This window comes from Homo sapiens, chromosome 2 (genome assembly GCF_000001405.40).
Source record: "Homo sapiens chromosome 2, GRCh38.p14 Primary Assembly".
NCBI lineage: Eukaryota > Metazoa > Chordata > Mammalia > Primates > Hominidae > Homo > Homo sapiens.
The window spans coordinates 20,341,513-20,366,561 of NC_000002.12; the positions used below are offsets into that span (position 1 = coordinate 20,341,513).

At 43.9% G+C, this 25,049-nt stretch overlaps 1 protein-coding gene across 51 annotated transcripts in view, besides 6 other annotated features; it reads right to left on the bottom strand.

Annotated features, from left to right (window-relative positions):
• Positions 1–10,741, bottom strand: part of PUM2 (pumilio RNA binding family member 2) — a 103,563-nt gene extending 92,822 nt beyond the window's left edge. For 36 of the 51 annotated variants that reach the window (XM_005262609.2, XM_005262607.2, XM_047443812.1 and 33 more), the window contains exon 1: positions 9,085–9,332. The gene's annotated coding sequence lies outside the window, so the exon portion shown is untranslated. Of the gene's footprint in view, positions 1–9,084; positions 9,333–9,393; positions 9,473–10,653 lie in introns of those variants that run through there. The other 15 variants (XM_047443814.1, NM_001352928.3, NM_001352923.3 and 12 more) reach the window with 3 other exon arrangements.
• Positions 8,715–9,604: a silencer, noted in NCBI's record as "silent region_11205". NCBI's record gives its function as "represses an Ori minimal core promoter by ATAC-STARR-seq in GM12878 lymphoblastoid cells {active_cell/tissue: GM12878}" and the evidence as "EXISTENCE:reporter gene assay evidence [ECO:0000049][PMID:35858748]".
• Positions 8,715–10,061: a biological region, named in NCBI's record as "H3K27ac hESC enhancers GRCh37_chr2:20550073-20550702 and GRCh37_chr2:20550703-20551334".
• Positions 8,800–9,429: an enhancer, noted in NCBI's record as "H3K27ac hESC enhancer chr2:20550073-20550702 (GRCh37/hg19 assembly coordinates)". NCBI's record gives its function as "activates a minimal SCP1, AML or CMV promoter by ChIP-STARR-seq in naive H9 embryonic stem cells {active_cell/tissue: H9 hESC(naive)}" and the evidence as "EXISTENCE:reporter gene assay evidence [ECO:0000049][PMID:30033119]".
• Positions 9,430–10,061: an enhancer, noted in NCBI's record as "H3K27ac hESC enhancer chr2:20550703-20551334 (GRCh37/hg19 assembly coordinates)". NCBI's record gives its function as "activates a minimal SCP1, AML or CMV promoter by ChIP-STARR-seq in primed H9 embryonic stem cells {active_cell/tissue: H9 hESC(primed)}" and the evidence as "EXISTENCE:reporter gene assay evidence [ECO:0000049][PMID:30033119]".
• Positions 9,765–9,854: an enhancer, noted in NCBI's record as "active region_15387". NCBI's record gives its function as "activates an Ori minimal core promoter by ATAC-STARR-seq in GM12878 lymphoblastoid cells {active_cell/tissue: GM12878}" and the evidence as "EXISTENCE:reporter gene assay evidence [ECO:0000049][PMID:35858748]".
• Positions 10,062–10,691: an enhancer, noted in NCBI's record as "H3K27ac hESC enhancer chr2:20551335-20551964 (GRCh37/hg19 assembly coordinates)". NCBI's record gives its function as "activates a minimal SCP1, AML or CMV promoter by ChIP-STARR-seq in primed H9 embryonic stem cells {active_cell/tissue: H9 hESC(primed)}" and the evidence as "EXISTENCE:reporter gene assay evidence [ECO:0000049][PMID:30033119]".

Here is a 25,049-nt window from a genome sequence, read left to right on the forward strand (position 1 = left end):
GGGAAGTACGAAAAAATAAACATCTCACTCAACTTTGGTAAAGAAGGTACTGTTGGCTTTATCTTTGTATTTCTTCATATTGTAAGACTTACTGAGGTTAGCAAAATAAATTTCTTAATGTCCTATATAAATATAGCTTAACTGCATTACAGTTTGGAAACTATCAAAGTACAAAAGTTATTGTGTTACTTTTTGTTCCTATTAGTACTAGGCTGAAAGTCCAACAAATGAAGACTTGTCTCACATGGCTATCTTAGTAATTTTCAATTGTTACATGCTATCAATTAGAATTAATACCTCACCAAGGAAAAACAACTTAAGAAATGTTAACTAGAGGCCTAGCATGGTTGCTCACGCCTGTAATCCCAGCACTTTGGGAGGCTGAGACAGGTGGATCACTTGCGGTCATGAGTTCGAGACCAGGGTGGCCAACATGGTGAAAGGCCGTCTCTACTAAAATATAAAAATTAGCCAGGTGTGGTGGCAGGCGCCTGTGATCCCAGCTACTAGGGAGGCTGAGGCAGGAGAATCGCTTAAACCCAGGAGGTGGTGGTTGCATGGAGCGGAGATTGCGCCACTACACTCCAGCCTGGGCAACAGAGTGAGACTCTGTCTCAAAAAAAAAAAAAAAAGAAAGAAAAAGAAATGTTAACTAAATTGTAACAGAGAACTAAAGGAAGAAATCTGAATGCATGGTCTGAGACAACTGGAGAAAAATAACAATTTTAAGAAGCAGACTTTAATGCAGTATATTTGGAATTTTCCTAAGTGTGCTCCTTATTCACCAACTCAGTGTTCTCAGAAATAAGTGATCCCTTGTCCAATACATTTCAGGTATGCTGCTCAGTAGCACCCACTTGCTCCTTTGCAAGCTCTGAGTACATGTTCAATCTTTCCTTCCTTCTGTTACTGGCTCCAAGAAATTCTACAATTAAAACTGTTTAACCTTAACCCAGTATTACCATAACTTTTCTGTAAATGTTAACACAAATACATTTTATGTAGTGTTTCTAGTCATTTCCAAGACAACTTAAAGAAAAATGAATGTGAGGTATGAAATATATTCAATTTTCTCATAAGACTGGGTAGAATAGAGATTTAATTTTTGTCTAGGAAAACCCTAACTTACGGTTAAAAGCTTTAAAATATATTTAGCTTATTATGACTTATGAATAGTCTAAGAAATATATATGAATTGTATAAATCTTTGAAGTAAAAGGAATCATTTAGGTGATTAGCATGAATTGCGGTTTTTAAAGTTCCTCAAGTAATCAAGAACAAGCTTTGAATTGGTTAACTTTAAAGTGAGATGAAATGACCAAGCCAATTTCCTAAAGATACTTAAGTTTTAAAAAGGCAAGTTATTACATCAAAAACACCACCAAACATCTAGGTAGAAATGTATGGAGAGAAACCAAATCTGTGTTAGTTTCAAGGATTAAGTATTAAATCATATATATATTTATAGACAGGGTCTTACTCTGTCACCCAGGCTAGAGTGCGGTGGTGCCTTCACAGCCTCCAAACCTGGGCTCAAGCAATCCTCCTGCCTCAACCTCTAGGGTTACAGTAGTGCCACACTATGCCCAGCTAAATTATATATTTTTAAAAGAGTCTGTGTTTAAAAAAAAATTGAGTATAATTTAAATAAACTTACTTTATTCACTTAAGCAAATGTTTGGAAGACGGCAGACTATCTTAAAGGAAATATACAATAAAACAAACAAAAAAATTAGCTGGGTGTACTGGTACATGCCTGTGGTCCCAGCTACTCAAGAGGCTGAGGTGGAAGGATCACTAGAGCGAGGGAGGTGAAGGCTGCAGTGAGTCATGTTCACACCACTCCACTCCAGCCTGGGTGACACCACTGCACTCCAGCCTGGATGACAGAGACCCTGCCTCAAATTAAAAAAAAGTTTCTAAATAAAAATAACTAAGTAATTTATTAAATAAAATAGCAAATAAACTAGTAAGTTTAAAGCTAACCAGTTGTGCTAGTAATTGTACAAACAGTAGGTATGTACAATTCTCATTAGCCAGAGAAAGAAATCATACCAAACCCTTGGATGCAACCTTATTCCTAACACTAAGCTTTAAAAGAAATTTCTGTTGGGCATGGTGGCTTGGACCTATAATCCCAGCACTTTAGGAGGCCAAGACAGGAGGATTGCTTTAGTCCAGGAATTCGAGACCACATGGGGCAACAAATTCGAGACTAGCCAAGGCAACATAGTGAGACCTTGTCTCTACAAATAATAACAAAATAACTAGTTGGGTATGATGTTGTGCGCCTGTAATGCCAGCTCCTCAGGAGGCTGAAGTCAGAGAACTGCTTGAGACTGGGCAGTTGAGGCTGCAGTGAGCAGTGACTGCACCACTGCACTCCAGCCCCAGCAACACGATGAGACACCCGCCCTCATCCCAGTATCAGAGAAAAAAAAAGCAATTTCTTAGATGGAGCATTATTGAGGCAACAGAGTTGTAATAGAAAATATCTTCAACATTACCATTAACAGATACAAGGTTTCATAGTATCATTTTACTTTATTTTATTTTACTTTATTTTATTTTTTGAGACAGGGCCTCACTCTGTTGCCCATGCTGCAGTGCAGTGGCTCGATCTTGGCTCACTGCAATCTCTACCTCTTGGGATCAAGAGATCCTCGCGCCTCAGCCTCCCAGGTAGCTGGGACTACAGACGCGAGCCACCATGCCCAGCTAATTTTTGCATTTCTTATTGAGATGGGGTTTCACCACGTTGCCCAGGCTGGTCTCAAATGCCTGAGCTCAAGCAGTCCACCTGCCACGGCCTCCCAAAGCGTTAGGCGCCCAGCCTCATAGTCTTTCTTACAGTCAGTTCCTCAAGGAAAAGTCAAATACCTAACTCCTAATATAATCCAGGAAAACTAACTACACAGTAATTCTCTAAGGCTTTCAAGGACACCATGATTGTCTATATCTTCCTAAATTATAATCCTGGACTGTCCATATTAGATAAAGGACTTCAATCTGGTGGGCTTCTACCTATCTCTCCTATCTCTCTTTTGTCACCCTCCTCCCTATAACTGCACCTTAAACTCTTGTCATTCTACCCTATCAGGATTACTACGGCTATTAATCCCTCTGGCTGAATGCCACCTCACCCATCTCGGGACTAAATTAACTTCTATAACATTTTAAGATTCCGCAGCTGGGCACAGTGGCTCACACCTGTAATCCCAGCACTTTGGGAGGCTGAGGCCGGCGGATCACGAGGTCAGGAGATGGAGACCATCCTGGCTAACATGGTGAAACCCCGTCTCTACTAAAAATACAAAAAAAATAGCAGGGCTTCGTGGCGGGCGCCTGTAGTCCCAGCTACTCAGGAGGCTGAGGCAGGAGAAGGGCGTGAACCCGGGAGGCGGAGCTTGCAGTGAGTTGTGATAGTGCCACTGCACTCCAGCCAGAGCAACGGAGGGAGACTCTGTCTCAAAAAAAAAAAAAAAAAAAAAAGAAAAGAAGATTCCGCTTTACCTCTTGTGGAAAGCTTTTCCTGTCCCTGCAGTCTCTACCTACATGTGTCCACAGCACTTTTTTCTTTTTTTTTTTTTTGCGGCGGGGCCGGGGAGACAGGGCCTCCCTCTGTCGCCCAGTCTGGAGTGCAGCGGCACGATCACAACTCACTGCAGCCTCAGTCTCCTGGATTCAAGTGACCTTCCCACCTCATTCCCACCTCAGCCTCCCAAATAGCTTGGACTGTAAGTGCGTGCCACCATGCCAGACTAATTTTTTAATTTTTTTAGAGACAAGGTCTCCCTATGCTGGCCAGGCTGGTCTTGAATTCCTGGACTCAAGTGATCGTCCCGCCTCAGTCTCCCAAAGTGTTGAGATTACAGGCATGGGCCACGTGCCCACACCACAGCACTTTTATAATACCACCTCAGTGGCAGGCTAGCATGCTGCACTGTAATCACAAGTTTAATCTTCTCTCCACTTTCCTATAAAGGTCTTAAAAACAAGGACCACATATCACCGTATCACCAGCATCTAAGGACAGTGTGGCACGATACATCTGCAACGCTCAAAAAAAAAATGTGTGGGGCGAGGCACAGTGGCTCACGCCTGTAATCCCAGCATTTTGGGAGGATGAAGCAGGTGGATCACTTGAGGTCAGGAGTTCAAGACCAGCCTGGCCAACAGTGAAACCCCATCTCTTCCAAAAATACAAAAATTAGCCGGGCATGGTGGTGGGCGCCTGTAATCCCAGCTTCTTGGGAGGCTGAGGCAGGAGAATCGGTTGAACCTGGGAGGCGGAGGTTGCAGTGAGCCGAGATCACGCCATTGTACTCCAGCCTGGGCAACAAGAGCGAAACTCTGTCTCCAAAAAACTTGTGCAGGTATTTTAGCGTGATGAAAAGACACAATTTTAATATTCAGACTACAAATGGACTGAATGTCCATACTCCATGAATATTTTCTCAACCACGATTCTGAAAGAACTGGCAAACAATTTACCTTTAGCAAGAGCGTAGAGCACTCCTATTCTTGCTAGTGTAGGATGCACATAATTTAGATATTAAGACGAGGGCACCTAAGACTCTCCTTTGGAAAAAAAGTAATAAATTACACTTCCATTGAAAGGTGGTCCAAGAAAACACCTATAGGCAAAACCTGGAGCCACTATCCTCTCAACTTCAAAACATAATTCTGTTCATGTTGAATTGGTTTTAAAGATTCAAGTTTTATCATAGATAACTGAATGTTTTTGCATGTAATCATGCTAAAACTACCGATAAGCTACTATGGAGATGTTCTTAATAAACTAACTTAAAAATGACATGGTCAAGAAAATGGAAGATACAAGTAGTTCCAATCTGTATACATTTTTGGTATTTATAAAAATCATACAATACAATCCACATTTTTTTCTTCCTACAGTTTGCTTCATTTGACTGCCTAATAAAGACCTATACTTAGGGGCACTCTCCCTCTAACACTCATTTGCCTTATTTCATGTCTGAATGAATAAGACCAATTGCATCTTTCTCTCACTGATCTTAAGTTTTTCAGAAACTGCCTAAAGTCAGGGATCACCACTTTGAGATCCAGAACTTCTTACTCTTGTCATAAGATGGCTACTACAATAAGATAGATCAAAGAGCTGTCCTCAAACCAGGTTTCCTCCATTAGTGTATTTTTCCCCAGAACTAAAAAAATGTAAATAATCCTTCCCTACCGCCCCGCCATGACCACATTGTATGTGTGTTGGCAGCCAGCTACAGGTTCCATTTCCCTGGGCAGTACTGACTAAGTGGTTTTGAGTACAATTTCATAGCCAATTGTACCAAGTCCCTTCCAGGAAACATTTTAGGGGGCTTCTGTGGTCCCAACATATTTAGCTCCAAATAGGTGATGACTACCTTTTTTTTCCTGTCCCATTTGCAGTCAATCAAACCATCTAACACTTCAATTACCTCCCTTCTCCTTTTACACTTCATGCTACTTCTTTTTTTGCACTTGCCAGCTACAGTGATATGCATACAAGGTGTGTACATTTTGATATTTCCCAGTACTCTATTCTAAAATCTTTTATTCCTCCACAAGAGAACAGTGAGAGAGTAAGATGTGAAAATCAACAATATGCAATACGCAACCTGAAAATGGTTGGGATCCAGTAGCTAAACTTGCAGAATGGAACTTACTAATGAAACTATGCTTTTGCCAACAGCTTAAATAAACAATCTGTTTAAAAATTCTCTAAAGCACTTAAGACCATAAAAAGGAACCAGCCAAAGGTCAAATAAAACTTTTAATATTTGTGTTTAATTAGGCGTGTCTTGATTTTTCATTTAAAAAGATAACTCTCGAGTTATTTGAAGAAAAAGTCACTAAGGAAAAAAAACACTAACATGTCTCTAAACATAATGCTACATGAAACTCAAAGAAAAAGCATTTATCACGCACCTACCTAATAATTCTATACAGCGTTTCACTCACTGGAAAAGCTTGAAAATAGAAAACTTCCACTTTTTCAACTACAAAAGCAATTAAGTTTTAAATAAAAACTGTCTCCTGTCTATATATATTGCCAAATATAAAAATCACTATTAAAATATTAGCTCCTAAATGATAGGGTTTGAGGAAACCTTTTTCCACAACAGAATTCCGAACTGACTGAAAGACACAGTAGTTGGACTTGTGTTAATCCAAAGATTTCCTTTACTACTGATAAAACCACAGTGGAGGCATAATTTAGACCTAGGCCAAGTGGGCTTCCAAACACACTCCATAATTATTCTAACCCAGTCACAAGTAGCACTGGACAACTACTGTCCTCTGGAAATGGGGAGTCTAACTTTGGTAGTCACATGAAAAAGCAGGGCAAATTAAGTGCTTTCTGCAGGGAGAAGACTCCCAGAGAGAAAGCGAGGAAGGGGCTCTGCCATATTTCATCAGCGTTCCCTCTTACAAACTCATCAAAGCGAAGTGAGGAGGCAGGACAAAACGAACAAGTCAGACTATTTTAATGCATTTCCTAAAAACAGCAAGGGTCTGGCACCGGGGCTCATGCTTTTAATACCAACATTTTGGGAGGCCAAGGCGGGAGAACTGCTTGAGCCCAGGAGTTTGAGACCAGCCTGGGCAACACAGCAAGACCTCACCTATATTAAAAATTAATAATAATAATAATAATAATAAAGAAAAAAAGCAAGAAATCTTAATATGCCACAGACCAATTTACCTGGCTATAAGTGTAATTTTTATCTTAATCACACCTGTTAGTAAAATGGTCTCAAGCTGTGATTGCAGCCATGTAGACAAAGCCATGTGAGACTCAAATATTCGGATATTTTAAATATCTGTAAATTTTAAGAATATGAAAAAATACAAGTATTTCCATATCCTGGAAACCCAACAAGGTATTTAAGTTAGGACGTATGTAGAACTTGAGTTTAGGAGACAGGAATCAACCTCCACTTAAAACTATGCAGATCATGTTAGGGTCTATAAAAAGGAGACAGCTTGGTCACTGAGAAAATTGGCTGTGGATTTCACACCTGGCCCAAATCTCTGGTCATAATTACTTTTGTTAACTAAGATAAGTACCTACTCCGGAAGGCAAATTATCTTTCCACACCAGAAAGGTTTATAAACAAGCCGGGTGTGGTGGCTCACGCCTGTAATCCCGGCACTCTGGGAGGGCGAGGCGGGAGGATCGCTTGAGATCGGAGTTCAGCCCAGGAAACACAGTGAGACCCTGTCTCTACAAAAAATGCAAAAATTAGCCGGGCGTGGTGGCGTGCGCCTGTACCCCCAGCTACAGTTACTCGGAAGGCTCAGGTGGAAGAACAGTTGCAGCCCGGGACGCGGAGGCTGCAGTGAGCCCAGATCTCACCACCTGCACTGCAGTCTGGGCGACAGAACCAGACCCTGTCTCAAACAAGAAAAAAAGATTCATAAACAAGTATGGAATGCTTGAGAGAAACAAAATCCAAGTATTATTTGGTAATTTATATACAGTATTTGTAATGCCTGAGAATTTATTCTAAAGTGACAGCTTTGTAAGAGCAAAGTAAATGTCAGTAATTAATTTAGGCTCTTTTAAAAAGTTGAAATCTTGCTAAATGCTGAAACACCTAAGAGAACTTTGGACTCAAATTAAGGAAAGCATGTGTTAAACACAGCTTAAATTGCTGGAAAATGCGTAAGTTACTGGCAATTATAACTCAAAATAGCTAGACCTGTAAACAAAATTTAAAAACTGGACTTAAATCCTCAAGAACCAGGTTTCTGAAATAAAATTTTATTTTTAAGATTATCGTAAACCTTTTCTGCATACAAAAACTGCCCTCATGCACACCAAGAAAATTCTACACAATGCAATTTCACCAAAAATCGGAATTTTAAAGAAATTCTTGCAGCACGGAAAATGCCATCATTTTTATTCATAATGATTGAGCAAATGAAGTAAATCATTGTTTAAAAGGAGGCTAGGAAGAGAAACAAGTTGAAAATACTCATTTTTGTTTTTTTTTTTTTATTTACAGGATTCCTTAAGTCATCTTCCAATACTCCAGGTCACATGGTGAAGAGTCACCTGTTAAACACGAAATCTAACCATTAAACAAGCTTTTAAAATCCTTCGGTAACTCCCTTTATTAAAATTGTTTTCTTGACATACAGTACCTTTACAGGTATTACATTTCTCTTCACCGTTTACAAGCATTTTTCTCATGTTTTCCTTCACCAAAACATCTGCCCCGTTTTCTCAACAAGTAAAAATCTCAAAGTACTAAGTCCTAACATGATGTCTTATTGCACCTAATATGCTGGCAATACATTCCTCTCTTCAAAAGTTTACGTATGTTAGAATAAAAAGCTAAGTTAAGTAGGTTTTCTCTGGCTGTGTTTTCAGAAACAACACTAACTTTTACACGTGTTTGGGCATGAAACTTTAAACATTTTCCCCAAAACCTGACCCAATTCAGATACAAAACTACTGCTCAAATAGTAGAAGCCGCTAATCTTGTCTTTGGTTTTAATTTACATATTTTTCTGAATATCGAAATCCGTTCCTATAACCTAAACAAGGCGAATCCAAGTCACTGCTTCATACCCACATCTGTCCACGGCAAGCTTTTCCCGGACACACTCGGGCCTTTGAAAATGCCCACACTTGTTTTCATAAACCCACTCCTTCCTCTTCACCCACTTGCAATCCGCATGCTTCTCTGGGGCCACCCGGCCTCTCCCCTCTTTCCGAACCCTAGGGCCGACAGCTCGGTCTCTAACCTCCAGCGCGCCGAATCGGAGGGAGAACCGGGTCGGCGCCCCACGCCCCCGAGGCGGCGGCCCCGCAGAGGGAAGGAAGCGGGAAAGCGGCCGGCGCGGCGCCCCCTCCCCCGCACGCGCACACCCCCTTCCGGCACCCCTCCCCCTGCATTGTGCGAGCGGGCCCCAGGCCGCACCGGCCCGGGCACTCAGCAGGCCCTATCCGCCCTCCCGCTGGCGATCGGCTCCCGCCGAGGCCGCCGCACAAAGCCTGGGGAGCCATCCTCGACGGCGCCAAAGGACCGGAGAAAGAGCGAACGCGGACTGACTTACAGGGCTGCTGCGGCCGCGCTGCCTCAGCCGGGGACACCGACCGTTGGGCACACGGCGGCGTCGCTCTTGGCGGTCCTCCCCCTCCTCCGCCTTCGGTGGCGGCAATGTCTTCTTTCTCCACCTACCACCCTCCCCCCCCACCCCACCTCCTCCTTCTCCTCCCCCTCCTCCTCCGAACCACCGAAGTACCGAGGGTGAGACACAGAGACTCACAACAACATGGCTGCCACCGCCGCCTGCCCTCCCCTCCCCCCCGCCCACCGGGCGCGCGCAGTGCACCCCGGGAGAAAGGGGAGGGGGAGCGCTCACCAAGGCGCGGCTCCTTTTAATGCCTTGCGTCCCTGCTCCCGCGCTGCCGCCGCGCGGGCCGGGGGCGCCCTGCGCGTGCGCACGTTCTCCGCGCTCTCACGTGTTTGGCCGCCTCTCCGGCGTGCCCTCCCCCGCCCTCACCTTGCGGGCTCGCGCTTCCCTCCTGGGCTCCGCCGCGGCGGGCTCGGAGAGCGCAGGCGTACTGTTGCCAAACGCTGTGTTCGACTGTCTTCCCGCGTGGGGCCTCGCCTTCTGAATCTTCTTACCCTCGGCTTCCTACCCGGTTGCTCACTGTTTTCCCCCAACTGGGTGTGCGGGTGTCTGCGCCCGCGCCGCCCACCGTGGGGTACTCCTGGCATTTCGCTTCCAGAGTGCTGGCGCCCACAAGAGCCGGACGTTAATTCAGGCCTTTAACTTTCACTCTGTACCTCCCCACAACCAGACGAGGGAGATGCATCTGGGGGTGGAAGATTGTACCCTGCGAGAGGGCTGTCACTCTTCTCGTGGTTGCACCCCAGGCAGGTGGAGCCAGCTCTCAGCAAATTGTCGGCCCCCAGTGCTTGGTCCCGGTGCACACAAAGGAAACTCAGGTCGTTCTCCAGCTGGGCCAGTGATTCTCACTCGTTGGCTGTTTCTTTTTCTCGCGTACTAAGCGCTCTCTCCTTCCCCGTTTACAGGCTAGTTGGAAACTCCAAATCTGCCTTGCTGTCCTGGACCCCCATGCAAAGCAGTGGTGATTCCAGGATTCTAACCTAACCGGCTCCAGGTCACACAGCTGTAACAGGCACCGTGTCCGATTTGTTCTTGATGGTTTGTTTGCACAGCTCCTGGCTCTCCTGACATGCTGCACTTCGTAAATATTCAGGGCCTCCCGTATAGTTTGCTTAATATATGTCTTCCCTAGGCGACTGTGAGCTCCACGAGGGCAAGGACCTTGTGTTTTGTTTCACACTGTGCCCGCAAGTGCCTGTTGAATACACATGGGCTCTTCGGTTTTTAACTATTACTGAAAAATGTCTGACATTGAAATCCATCCCAAGCCCCTACCTTAGGCTCATATTTCAGGCTTCTAGATATTTTCACTTGAATTTTCTTGTCACCAAGCATGTTAAAAACTGAAGTCACACCCATCCCCTACCCCCCACTCTTGTACTGTCTCTGTAATTGGCAGTGTCACCACCTATTCATTCCCCAAATTACACCTCTGAGAACCATCCTTGTCTCTTCCTCTTACCCCGACTCCAAATATAAATAACTTACCAAGCCTCGCAGATTTTTACTTCCCAAGTAATTCTGGAGACAGTCTTCCTCTGCCTCCTCACTAATGCTAGCCTTGCTTCCCAGGTCTGGATTTCTGTAGCTGGCTCTTAATCAGCTTTCCTGTCTCCAGTCTCACTCCCTCCAATCAGTTCTGCTCACTGCTATCTAAAATGCAAATCCAATTCCTGGCGCTCAGGCCTCTGCTTCAACCATCTCATTGCTCCCCATCACCCACGACAGCATTTCCCTAGTGTGCTGTGTTCAGTGTTAATAGATGTTCCTTTAAGAAATGTCTCACGATCAAGTAAGAATGGGAGATGCTGGGGTGTACACATTTTGCCTTCCTTCTCCTTTCCCCTCCGTTGAGCTGATAATAGCAGAAGAGTCTTTATATACAGTTGCTTAGTGTGGGTGAAACTAGATAAATCCATCACAGGCCCTCCCTTAGAATATGGAATTGGGACTAAGAGACCCCAACCTCGAAAGTCTCTTGGACCTGGGATCCCTTGGGCAGACTGGTTCCATCCTGTAAGACAGGGAACCTGTAGAGAAAGAGTGGAGTTGAGAGAGAAAAGGAGAGTGCTGACAATGTCTCTCTTTCACATGTTTCTGTGCCTGGCTGGCTGCCTCTACCCTTGGAGTCTGAGCCGCATTCCTGGATCCTTATGGTAAATTCTGCTTCTTTGCTTAAGCTAGATAAAGTGAATTTCTGTTACAACCAAGAGTCCTACTAAAAGCCACGTGTAAGCTATAGTTATTTGTTTGGTACTAACAACATGCAAGCACCAAAGCACTTTCCATACATTGTCTCATTTAATGTTCCAGATATCCCCATGAACAAGGCCAGCTTCAGCACAGGCACGTGACCTGTGCAGTTGAACAAGGCCTGGGGGGTGCCTAAAAAGATTCTACGATTGGTTTAATGCTCTGATGTCACCATCTAGAAAGTCTTAGTGGTTTTTGACAAAAGGGCCCCTCATTTTCATTTTGAACTGAGCTCCACAAATTACCTATGAGGTATTATCTCTATGTGACAAAAGGTTTATTTTCTGCCAGACTTATTAGTGCCTTTAAAATCAAAATATGCATTGTAAATATCCAAGTGAGGGACATAATATGCAATGTGTCCCAACCAAATTTGACCCTAGAAGACGTTTCTTCGTGGAGAATCTCTTACAGGTTTGGTGCTCTGCAAGACGCAGATTAAAGCCCCACCCTTTAGTGATCTGCCTATGTCCCTATCTCCTCTGGAGCTCATGATTCCCTATGCACAGTGAGCAGTTTCTTGCTTCTGTGCCTTCACATATGCTTTGCAATCTGCCATGCTCATTAAGCACTTCTGATTATAATTGGCTTCTCTTTAGATTTACCTACAAGGAAAGAATATACTCCTCAAGCTAATGTAAATATCTCGTGTGCTTGGTAGTTGAGGTGGACATTGTAATTGACACCCCAACAGCCATTCTCGTCACCTGGGAGCTTGTTAGAAATGCAGAATCTTGGCCCCATGCCAGATCAGCTTAATCAGAATCTGCATTTTAACAAGATTCCCGGGCAATTCCTATGCACAATAAAGTTTGAGAAACATTAGTAAGCCAATCACAATAATTCCACTCCGCTTGCTAGAAACTGGTTCTGTAATGGGCGTGCCTTATCCATTTTGAGCCAGTGAGACACAAAGAGGTGCTAACTCAGAGCTTCTGGAGGAAGAAAAGCCAGTCCAGTCTCTCTCCCCTGAGTGTAAACAAGAAAACATGTTGCCACAGTTCCCGCTGACAGGCATCTTATGACCACAAGGGAAATCAGACTGCCAGTAGCCTATCCAGTGTTCTCTCTCCCCTTCTACCTTAACAACTGGTCCTGGTGTGTATGCCCGTATGGACTGGAGGAGGCACAGAATGGAGTGTCTTGAATTTCCAGCAACAAGCATTGCGTTTGGGAATGTGTCTCGTTGGCCTGTTGAGTCCAGTGGTTCTCAACCAGAGTTGCACATCAGAATCACCTGGGGAACATTTAAAATATATTAATTCCCAAGCCCTACCACCAGAGATTTGGATTTAATGGGTCTTAGCTGAAGCGTGGACATGGGTACTTTTTAAAAGCTCCTTACAGCCGGGCATGGTGGCTCACGCCTGTAATCCCAGCACTTTGGGAGGCTGAGGTGGGCGGGTCACCTAAGGTCAGGGGTTCGAGACCAGCCTGGCCAACATGGTGAAACCCCATCTCTACTAAAAATACAAAAATTAGCCGGGTGTAGTGGTGGGCACCTGTAATCCCAGCTACTAGGGAGGCTGAGGCAGGAGAATCACTTGAACCCGGGAGGTGGAGGTTGCAGTGAGCCAAGATCGCGTCATTGCACTCCAGCCTGGGCGACAAGAGCAAAACTCCATCTCAAAAACAAACAAACAACAACAACAACAACAACAACAAAAAAAAACACAACTCCTCAGTAGTTTTAATGTATAGCCATGACTGAGAACCACCAATTTAGACAGATCACATCTTAGAGCATAAATCTTTGAGCATTTTAATATTCCTTATGCAAATGCTCTTTTCCACTGAGACTGTTTGTGAAACTCCTAGTAAACTCTTTTTGTAAGCTTGTCAATTTGATAAAAATAATATAAGCTTGGTTGGGCACAGAGGTCCACACCTGTAATCCCAGCACTTTGGGAGGCCAAGATGGGAGGATCACTTGAGGGCAGGAGTTCAAAACCAGCCTGGGAAACATAGTGAGACCCCCGTCTGTACAAAAAAATTAAAAATACAAGCCCTTTATAAAATTTTTCAGAAATGCAAAACGGTTTAAATCATCCCAATTTTAGTATCACAGAAAACTATTCACATTTGGTGAACACCATTATTATAGGCATAAATACAGATTTAAGGATGAACAGAGAAATATGCAGCTAGAGTAACATTAACAATAATAGGTTCTTTCTCCACATATTATTTTTAAAACAAAGTATTTTTTTAAATACAGTATTGAATTTGTTTTCATTTGAATTTGACAAAAGAGAAAAACAGAAGGAACTGATCAGATAACTGTTACTTCATCTCAAGAGAAAATGATTCATAAAACATTTCTCAAAGGCTAAAAATTTATTTATTTATTTATTTATTTATTTATTTATTTATTTATTTAAAAGTGGGCGTCTTGCTGAGGCTGGAATGCAGTGGCTGAACTGCATAGCTGCGGCCTTGAACTGGAATGATTCACATGATCCTTCCACCTCAGCCTCTGTAGTAGCTGAGACTACAGGCATAAGCCACTGTGCTCAACCTCAAAGGTTAAAATTATAAATATCATTAATAGGACATTGTAATTTTTCAAACTGTATGTTTCAGTATTGATCAGTGCTGAATTCCTTTCCATTGAAGATAGATTAACAGTCTGACTTTTGCTGAGCGCGGTGGCTCACGCCTGTAATCCCAGCACTTTGGGAGGCCAAGGCGGGTGGATCACGAGGTCAGGAGTTTGAGACCAGCCTGGCCAACATACTGAAACCCCATCTCTACTAAAAATACAAAAATTGGCTGGGCATGGTGGTGTGCGCCTGTGGTCCCAGCTACTTGGGAGGCTGAGGCAGGAGAATCACTTGAACCCAGGAGGTGGAGGTTGTGGTGAGCCAAGATCGTGCCACTGCACTCCAGCCTGGGCAACAGAGAGAGACTCTGTCTCAAAAATAAAAAAACAGTCTGACTTTCTACCACCTCTTCCCTGTCCTTCCTAATTTTTTGCTTATAATTTTTTATTATATTAATACTTTGTCAAAAAATACTTCGTCAGGTTTTATGATATTTACATTCTATTTTATCCATGATTTCCCTGTTGATTTGTCTTAATTTCAGTATTTAAGTATATTCATTGTTCACTGCTCTATTTCTGACCTGTTCATTTTGATTTGCTTATATAGATTTCATCATGTATCAGTTAGCATTTACTTGTGTTACAAACTACCCCCAACGATTATTTGTTTATTCGATCACAACCTGTGGGTTGGTGAATTTGGCTGGGTTCAACTGGGAGGTTTTGTGGATCTTTCCTGGCTCACTTATGCAATAACAGTCAGCTGGTGGCTTAACTTAATGGTTGAGGTTTGGTGATCAGCCAAGGCACCTTGTAGTCTCTCCAACAGGCTAGCTCAGGCTTGTTCACATGGTAGCAGACTAAGAATGGAAGCTGCAAGGCCTCTTGAGAGGGCTCAGCTTGGAACTCAAATAGTATCCCTTCCACCACAATTTATTGGTGAAAACAAATCATGACGCCAGCCCAGATTCAAAAGACTTTATCTTTTGATGGGAGGAATTACAAAAAAATTTTTGTTCATTCCATGATATCCTCATATTGCAAGTTATTTCATGTTTAAAAATGACCTCCTGGCCAGGCACAGTGGCTCATGCCTGTAATCTCAGCACTTTGGGGGGCCAAGGAGGGCGGATCGCTTGAGCTCACATATTTGAGACCAGTCTAGGCAACATGGTGAAACCCCATCTGTACAAAAAATACAAAAAAATTAGCTGGGCATGACGGTGTGCGCCTGTAGTCCCAGCTACTTGGGAGACTGAGATGGCAGGATGGTTTAGCCTGGGAGACAGAGGTTGCAGTGAGCTGAGATCACACCACTGTGCTCCAGTGGGCGAGAGAGCCAGACCTTGTCTCAAAACAACAACAACAACAAACTAAAAATAAAAATGCTTTCCTCTTTTGTTAAATAACACCTATCCTCAGGTTTTGCTTTTTTCTTCTTTTATGTATTTCTTTTAATTTTATAAAAATGTGAATGGCCAGGCACAGTGACTCACGCCTGTAATCCCAGCATTTTGGGAAGCTGAGGCAGGAGGATCACTTGAGCCCAGGAGTTCAAGACCAGCCTGAGCAACATAGCAAGAACCCATCTCTACAAAAAAAATTTAAAAGTATTAGCCAGGCATAGTGGCATGCCCCCGTGGTCCCAGACACTCTGGAGGTTGAGGCAGGATGATCACTTGAGTCCAGCAATTCAAGACCAGCCTGGGCAACATAACGAGATACTGTTCAAAAAAAAAAAATTATAGAAGAAATCTGCAAACTACACCTCTTAACAGCTAGCTCTCTGTTAGGCTCTGCAAATAGTGGGCAACTAGAAAAAGATTAGAAGGCAGAAGAAGGCCAGGCACGGTGGCAAAAAGATAGAAGGCAGAAGAAGGCCGGGCGCGGTGGCTCACCCCTGTAATCCCAGCAATTTGGGAGGCCAAGGTGGGCAGATCACCTGAGGTCGGGAGTTTGAGACCAGCCCCACCAACATGGAGAAACCTGGTCTCTACTAAAAAAAAAAAAAAAAAAATATATATATATATATATATATATATTTTAAAAAATGTAAAATATATATATAAAATATATATATATATAAAGTATATATATAAATATAAAGCCAGGCATGGTGGTGCATGCCTGTAATCCCAGCTACTCAGGAGGCTGAGGTAGGAGAATCGCCTGAACCTGGGAGGCGGAGGTTGCGGTGAGCCAAGATGGTGCCATTGCACTCCAGCCTGGGCGACGAGAGTGAAACTCCATCTCAAGAAAAAAAAAAAAGAAGGCAGAAGAAAGGAGAAGTCTTTCGCTCCTTCCTGTTCGCATGTAATTTTTGTCAGAATGACCCCAGAACGGTATGTCAGCCCAACTGCAGCAGCTGGTTCCAGTTTCCAATTTCCCTTGCATTCTCTGATTAGAATAGAATTAGCCTTGTTTTACCCCCTCAGAGGAATAAGCAGCAGCTGGACCGCACCCCTCCCTAGAGGCCTAAGACCCAGCTCCACGGGGCCTCTTCTTCGAACTCAGGAGCATCCAGGGTACCCCTTCCTCAGAGGTCCATGTCCCAACTCTTTGGGGCTTCTCTTCTACATAGAAGGTTCAGATAACATCCACCTCTCTCCTTTATTTCCCTTTATTCCTTTATTTCCCCAGGGGTGGTGGCTGCTTACTGCAGTTACTCACTCTGTGTTACCTCACTAACCCTTTTTGTTTTGCCATCTCTTGAGTGCCTATTTAACCAATTCCCTATGTTAAATTCTCTCTGTTGAAATAATCAATGTGGTTTCTGTTTTTCTGACCAGACCTTAATCGATGCATCATCTTCTGGAACTTATTTTATTGAAGTCATGTTATTATATTCTTTTCTAGCATCAGCGGTTTCAGAAAATGTGACTTTATGTCTTTCTGTAAAACATCTTTGCCCATGCCTTGTCAGATTTTCTGCGTCTTCTTTTTTTGTGTTTAAATGAGTTTGTTTTAGATAACATTGTTAGTTCTTACATTTTAAACAGATTTATTGAGAGATAATTCACACACTATACAATTTAACGTGTACAATTCTATGGTTTTTAGTATATTCGCAAATATATGCAACCATGACCACATTCAATTATAGAATATTTTTATTAATCTTATTTTTGCAATCTTTTATTGAATGGTGCTGCTCCTTGTGGAGCAGGGCTAATTCATAGGTTATGCACCCAGCGTCTATATAGAATATTTTTATCATTTATTTTCTTTTTTTCTTTGTTTTTTTTTTGAGACGAGTCTTGCTCTGTCGCCCAGGTTGGAGTGCAGTGGCGTGATCTGGGCCCACTTTAAGCTCCGCCTCCTGGGTTCACGCCATTCTCCTGCCTCAGCCTCCCAAGTAGCTGGGACTACAGGCCCCCACCATCACGCCCGGCTAATTTTTTTTTTTTTTTTTTGTATTTTTAGTAGAGATGGGGTTTCACTGTGTTAGCCAGGATGGTCTCGATCTCCTGACCTCGTGATCCACCCGCCTCGGCCTCCCAAAGTGCTGGGATTATAGGCATAAGCCACTGCGCCCAGTCCTCTTTCTTTTTTTCTGAGACAAGGTCTTGCTCTGTTGCTCAGGCTGGACTGCAGTGGCACAATCGTGGCTCACTGCAGCCTCAACCTCACAGGATCAAGTTATCGTGCTACCTCAGCCTACAGAGTAGCTGGGACTACACTTGTGTACCACCATGCCTGGATAATTTCTGCATTATTTTTTAGAGATGGGCTTCCACTATGTTATCTAGGCTGTACTCAAAATCCTGGACTCAAGCTCCGAAACTCCTGGGATTACAGGCGTGCACTACCACGCTGGCCTGTTTTTATCATCTCGAAAAGAAACCGCATACACTTAGGCTGTCACTCCCTTACCCTTCTACCCCCTAGTTATCAGCAACCACTAATCTACTGTTTGTCTACATAGATAATTTGCCTATTTGGACATTCTATATGCATGGAATCACATAATATGTGGTTTTATGTGACTGGCTTCTTTCACTTAGCATAATGTTTTGTTTTGTTTTTAATTTTTTGTTTGTAGAGACAGGGTCTCTCCCTCTGTTGCCCAGGCTGGTCTCAAACTCCTGGGTTCAAGTGATCCTACTACCTAGGCCTCCCAAAGTGCTGGGATTAAAGGCGCGAGCCACCCCATCTAGCCCACGCTTAGCATAATGTTTTAAAGCTTCATCTAGGTGAGAGCATGTATCAGTACTTCTTTTTTATAGCCAAATTATATTTCATTGTATGGATATACCACATTTTGTTTATCTATTCATCAGTTGATGCACATTTAGGTTGTTTCTACCTTTTGTCAAATATGAATAATGCTAATATAAACCTTTGTGTATGAGTTTTTGTACGGAGGGCCTTTGTTCTCAGTTGTAGTTTCAGACTGGGTTCTCTGCCTTTTATGTGATGTGTTTCTTCTTTGCTGCCTGTAGTATGTTTGCCTAATGGAAAGGTCACTGTTTTTTTCTTTTTTCTTTTTTTCCTTCTCAAAGTTATCATGGGCAGACCTAGAACATTTTCTTGGACTTTAGTGCAACTGAAATCTTTTTGATAGCTTTCTCATTCATTTGAGACCAATGTATCTTCCCTTCAGAGCTATAGTTTGAGTACTGGGTACAGTTCTGCGTAGAGTCACTTCTCTGTAGTCTGAGAAAACCATAGTGCGGGAGGGAAGGAGCTTAGACAGCACTAAGTTGAATTCTTGCTTGAGGACCTGGATTCTGATCGCTCAATAAAGATCCTCTTGGCTGGGCGCGGTGGCTCACCCCTGTAATCCCAACACTTTGGGAGGCCGAGGCAGGTGGATCTCTTGAGCTCAGGAGTTTGAGACCAGTCTGGGCAACATGGCAAAACCCCATCTCTACAAAAAATACAAAAAATTAGTGGGGCCGTGGTGATGTGCACCTGTAGTCCCAGCTACCTGGGGGGCTAAGGCAGGAGGATCACTTGAGCCCAGGAGGTCGAGGCTGCAGTGAGCCGAGATTGTGCTACTTTACTCCAGCCAGGGTGACAAAGTAAGACTCTGTCTTCCAATCATGGGTCTTTCCTACTTCCATGAGCTTCAGCTTATTGTGTTGACTAAGAGTGCCCTGGAAGATGGCAAGCTAGGAGGACTGCTTTTCTTCCTGGCTTATCCTGTCATAGCAGCCAAGTCTGTTAAGAGTCCTAGCTCAGTGCTGGAATCAAGCAAGAGCTCTGAAGCAGCCTCCGTAAGCTACTGTAAGCCTCCTTCTCTTCCAGGACAGAATCCAATTTCTTAAGCAATTGTGGAGGCATGGTTTATATCAACTTCTCATTTTCAAAATTATGAGGAAATTTCTTAGTGTTCATAGTTTGATGAACTTACATAACACTAAATAATACCTTGCTCTTCGAGTGGAACACTTAGTCTCAAGTGTGAGATTTGTCCAAAGCTGGCTGGGCGTGGTGACTTTTGCCTGTAATCCCAGCACTTTGGGAGGCCGAGGCAGGAGGATCACTTGAAGTCAAGAGGTCAAGACCAGCCTGGCCAACATGGCAAAACCCCATCTCTACTAAAAATATGAAAATTAGTTGGGCATGGTGGCAGGCGCCTGTAGTCCCAGCTACTTGAGAGGCTGAGACAGAAGAATTGCTTGAACCTGGAAGGCAGAGGTTGCGGTGAGCTGAGATGGCACCACTGTACTCCAGCCTGGGCAAGAGTGAGACTCCATCTCACAAAAAAGAAAAAAAAAAAAAGATTTCTCCAAAGCTATTATTTCCAGTCTTGAAGGTTCTGCAATTTTCTTGCATCATTCTCATCGTATTTTAAGGAAAAACATGGCTCATGCAGGTTTGAATCCCACTGCATCGCCCAAATGCCTGTACAGAATAAACACTCCACTTAGCTAAGTATTGACTACCTATTGTTCTTGCATGAAAGGCAATAAAACAATAGGGATCTGGATTTCAGTATGTTTTGGGTTCTGGGAATAATTGTAGTTTAGAAAAATTGTGATGTCTTGAATTCTCTAAATGTTTGTGCACGAGGCCAGTGCTCTTATAATCTTAACCTGTTGGCGCCTATATTTGTTCTCACACTGCTATAAAGAACTACATGAGGCAGGACATGGTGGCTCAGGCCTGTAATCCGAGCACTTTGGCAGGTCAAGGGAGATGCAGATCACTTGAGGTCAGGAGTTCGAGACCAGCCTGGCCAACATGGTAAAACCCTGTCTCTACTAAAAATAGAAAAGTTAGTTAGGCTTGGTGGCACACCCTGTAATCCCAGCTATTTGGGAGGCTGAGGCAGGACAACTGTTTGAACCCAGGAGGTGGAGGTTGCAGTGAGCCGAGATTGTGCCACCGCACTCCGGCCTGGGAAACAGAGTGAGACCCTGTCTCAAAAAAAAAAAAAAAAAAAAAAAAAAAAAGGAACTACCCGAGACTAGGTAATTTATGAAGAAAAGAGGTTTAATTGACTCACAGTTTAATTGACTCACAGTCCACAGGCTGTACAGGAAGCATGAGTGGAAGGCCTCAGGAAACTCACAATCCTGGTGGAAGGTGAAAGGGAAGCAAGCACGTCTTACCATGGTGGAGCAGGAGAGAGAAAGAGCAAGGGGGAACAGACACACACTTTTAAACCATCAGATCTCGTGAGAACTCAGTCATTGTCATGAGAACAGCATAAGGGAAACCGCCCCTGTGATCCAATTACTTCCCACCAGGTCCCTCCCCTGACACGTGGGGATTACAATTCAACATGAGATTTGGATGGGGACACAGAACCAAACCTTACCAGCCCCTGAAGATGGAGCCAACTGATTATCAGAGGGAGAGCCAGAGGCATTTTCCTAAACATGAACATGCCTAGATAGGATAGAGTTCTCCCAGCCTGTTTTGGTTTCCCAGGGAAAAAATCTTGGCTACTCCTCACACTTGGACATAATAGGAGGGCTTTCCTTGGCTCAAAATAAGAAAAGTAGACCAGTCACAGTGGTTCACGTCTGTAATCCCAGCACTTTGGGAGGCTGAGGTGGGTGGATCACCTGAGGTCAGGAGTTCAAGACCAGCCTGGCCAACATGGCAAAACACTGTCTCTACTAAAAATACAAAAATTAGCCAGGCATGGTGGCGAGCACCTGTAATCCCAGCTACTCAGGAGGCTGAGGCAGGAGAATCACTCTAACTCAGGAGGCAGAGGTTGCAGTGAGCCGAGATCATGCTACTGCACTCCAGCCTGGGTGACGGAGCAAGACTCCATCTCAAAAAAAAAAAAAAAAAAAGAAAAGAAAAAGAAAAAGAAAAGTGGATCTTAGAGACCAGGAGATCTGTGACTTTGTCCAATGTCTCTGACTTCAGCAAGGGCAAAACTGGACCAAGAAGCCCTGTACTATTCCAGGCATGCCACACTTCCATAATGCCCAGGCCTGACCTGCATACCACGGGGGTGATTCTGAGCCTGTGAGAAGGTGAGTCAGGGAGTCAAATTATGCGAAGAAGTAGCTGGGTGTGGTGGCATGCACCTGTAGCCCCAGCTACTCAGGAGGCAGAGGTGGGAGGATCTCTTGAGCCCAGAAGTTTGGGGCCAGCCTGGGCAACATAGCAAAGGCCCATCTCTAAAAACTTAAAATAAAAATATAGGCCTCAAGAAAAAGAAAAGTGGATCTTAGAGACCAGGAGATCTATGACTTTGTCCAATGTCTCTGACTTCAGCAAGGGCAAAACTGGACCAAGTAGCCCTGTACTATTCCAGGCATGCCATACTTCCATAATGCCCAGGCCTGACCTGCATACCCCGGGGGTGGCTCATGCCTGTAATTCCAGCACTTTAGGAGGCCGAGGTAGGAGGATCGCTTAAGCCCAGGGGTTTGAGACCAACCTGGGCAACATGGAAAAAATAAAAAATAAAATAAAATAAACACAAGTAATTCACCATTTGTTTATGATATCAAGGAAAATCTACTGGTATCTTCTACTTTATAGACTGCCAAGAATGTCAACATTGTGCCGTGGGATGAGAAAATGAGAAAAAAATTAATTAAAATAGACTGCCAAGAATGGATATTTTGAAAGCATTTTGTGCTTTCTTATTTTGTCACTAATCCAGGGATGCATTGTAACGGAAAGAATATATACAAAATCTTATTGCAAACTTCTTGGTTGTGCCACAGGCTCTGCCTCAGTGTTCACAGTCTGCCGTGTGCAGTGTGTGAGAATGACTTCTTAGAGGGGTTTAAGATATCCATCCTGTTGTTGAAGCTCACAAGGAAGGCTGATCCCAGAGACAAATACAGCATGGCAGGGAAAGCAGAACTATCCCATCATGTGGCTGGCTGAAACTTGAGCTGACATTCAGCATTTTACAGACATTAGACAAAAACAAATACTCTTTGAAATATGGATGTAAGCAAAAATTAAGAATTCTTGACCATGAATAGGAACAAATAGTTTGAGGCAAGAAGTAAACAATGCAGGCCAGGCGCGTGGCTCACGCTTGTAATCCCAGCTTGAGAGGCCAAGGTGGGCGGATCACCTGAGGTCAGGAGTTTGAAACCAGCCTGGCCAACATGGCGAAACCCTGTCTCTACTAAAAATACAAAAATTAGCCTGGTGTGGTGGCATGTACCTGTAATCTCAGCTACTTGGGAGGCCGAGGCAGGAGAATTGCTTGAACCTGGGAGGCGGAGGTTGCAGTGAGTGGAGATCATGCTACTGCACTCCAGCTTGGGAGACAGAGCAAGACTCCGTCTCAAAAAAGAAAAAAATAGTAAACATTGCAGAGCATGGGCCAGGCCCGGTGGCTTATGCCTGTAATCTCAGCACTTTGGGAGGCTGAGGTGGGCCAATCATTTGAGCCTCGGAGTTCAAGACCAGCCTGGGTAACATGGTAAAACTCCATCTCTACAAAAAATACAAAAAAATTAGCTGGGTGTGGTGGCACACAGCCATAGTCCCAGCTACTCGGGAGGCTGAGGCAGGAGGATCACTTGAGCTTGGGAAGTCAAGGCTGCATTAAGCTGTGATTGCACCACTGCACTCCAGCCTGGGTGACAGAGTGAGAACCTGTCTCAAAAAAAACAAAAACAAAAGCATTGTAGGGCAAACTTCACCATGTGAGACAATGTGGGCTCATCAAGGGGTATCTGCAGGCATCCTTGGATGGAGGAAACCCGAGAGGGAAAGACTATACTCTTGATTGCAGTAGTTACGGATTTTCACCAGCTTACCCATAAGGAGAAACTGGAGCCCAAGAACAAACTCTTCTACACAGAATCTATAATTTATTGTCTGTGAGAATTCAGAGTAAACTGCTTGTATTAATAGTTCTCATTCCAGGCTATGGGCTTCTCAGGCACCAAGTCCCAAATAAAACCTCAAAGTTTTGCCATTGGAGGTTTTAGAGCCAGATAAATCTTACTGAACAATTCAGTCAAAAGTCTAGTACATACATTAGTTAAAATGGGTGAGTGACTGGGTGCAGTGGAACACACCTATAATCCTAGTACTTTGGGAAGCCAAGGTGGGCAGGTTGTCTGGGTTTAGGAATTTGAGAACAGCCTGGGAAACATGGCAAAACTCTGTCTCTACAAAAAATACAAAAATTAGCCAGGCATGGTGGCACATGCCTGTAGTCCCAGCTACTCAGAAGGCTGAAGTGGGAGGATTGCTTGAACCCAAGAGGTTGAGGCTGCAATGATCTGAGATGGCACCACTGCAATCCAACCTGGGTGATGGAGTGAGAACTTGTCTGATTAAAACAAACAAACAAACAAACAAACAAAAAAACAAGGTAACAAGACTTCACCTGAGTGTACCGTGCAGTACATGCATGTTCTAACACACACGTGAAGTGGCACCCTACCTGTACAATGCACTCATCTGCATTTGCACCCACATGCCTGCCATCAGCGTCATGGTCCTCACTGTGCCCCTTTCGTATCTACGTGCCCATCAGCATGCACATTTGCAGGGTCAGCAACTTCAGTCAACCATGATCCCTGTACCCTGGTCCTTAGCATGTCCTTTTCTTGGTTCCTGATTTTCGTTTTCTTTTCAGAGAAATGCAAGATGCTGAGTTGAAAGCATTTCCCCATAGTAGCTGCATTCTTCCTATTTGCTCAGCTCTGAGTCATTTCAGGAGTCATCTTTGACTTTCATCTGTCTCTAAAGCCTTACATATAAGTCATCAGAAAATCTGCCTTTGAGATATATCTCCAGATTCTGTGAATTTCCAGGTACTTCCACCACAACTGTGGTCCACGCTACCATCATCTCTCAGCTGGGTTACTGCAAAGCCTCCTGTCTCCCTGCTCCCACACTTGGCCAAATCTAGTTTAGTTTGTAGCCAGCCAGTGTGTTCCTTTTATAACTCAAATTGGATCATGTCACTTCTCTGCTAAGAACCCTTTAATTGATCCTCGTGCTACTTGGGAAAAATCCAAAATCTCTACCATATCTTCATGACCTGGCTCCATGCTGCCTCTCAAATCGCCTACCCCTCTCACCCTCACTTGAGCCACACTGGATGCTTTGCTGTTCCTCAAACACACCAGACACACTTACTTCAGGGTCTTTGTGTTTTTAATTCCTCTGCCTGGACCATTTTCTCCCAGATACACACAGACATCACTTCCTCACTTCCTTCAGGTTTCTGCTCAAATTCATTGTATCAGGAACCCCTCCTCTAAAAACTCTTTCTTGGATAACACACATTCATATTCTTCCTAGCCATTCTGTGCCTCCTTACTCTGATTGGCTTTTCTTCAGAGCACTTATCACTGCCTGAAATATTATTTGTTTATTGTCTGTCTTCCTGCACTAGAGTGTAAGCTCCCTGAGACCAGGGAGTTTGTTCTGTTCATGGCTTACCTCAGCTTCTAGAACAGTGCCTGATATGGGGTAAGCCCTTAAGAAACAGGTGTGGGGCTGGGCAGGGTGGCTCATGCCTGTAATCCCAGCACTTTGGGAGGCTGAGGCAGGAGGATGTCTTGATCCCGGGAGTTCAAGACCAGCTGAGGTAACACAGAGGACCCTGTCTCTAATTTTTTAATGAAAAAAAAACAACAAAAAGAAATAGGTGTGGAATGAATGAGCGGACTTATCACAGGAAGGT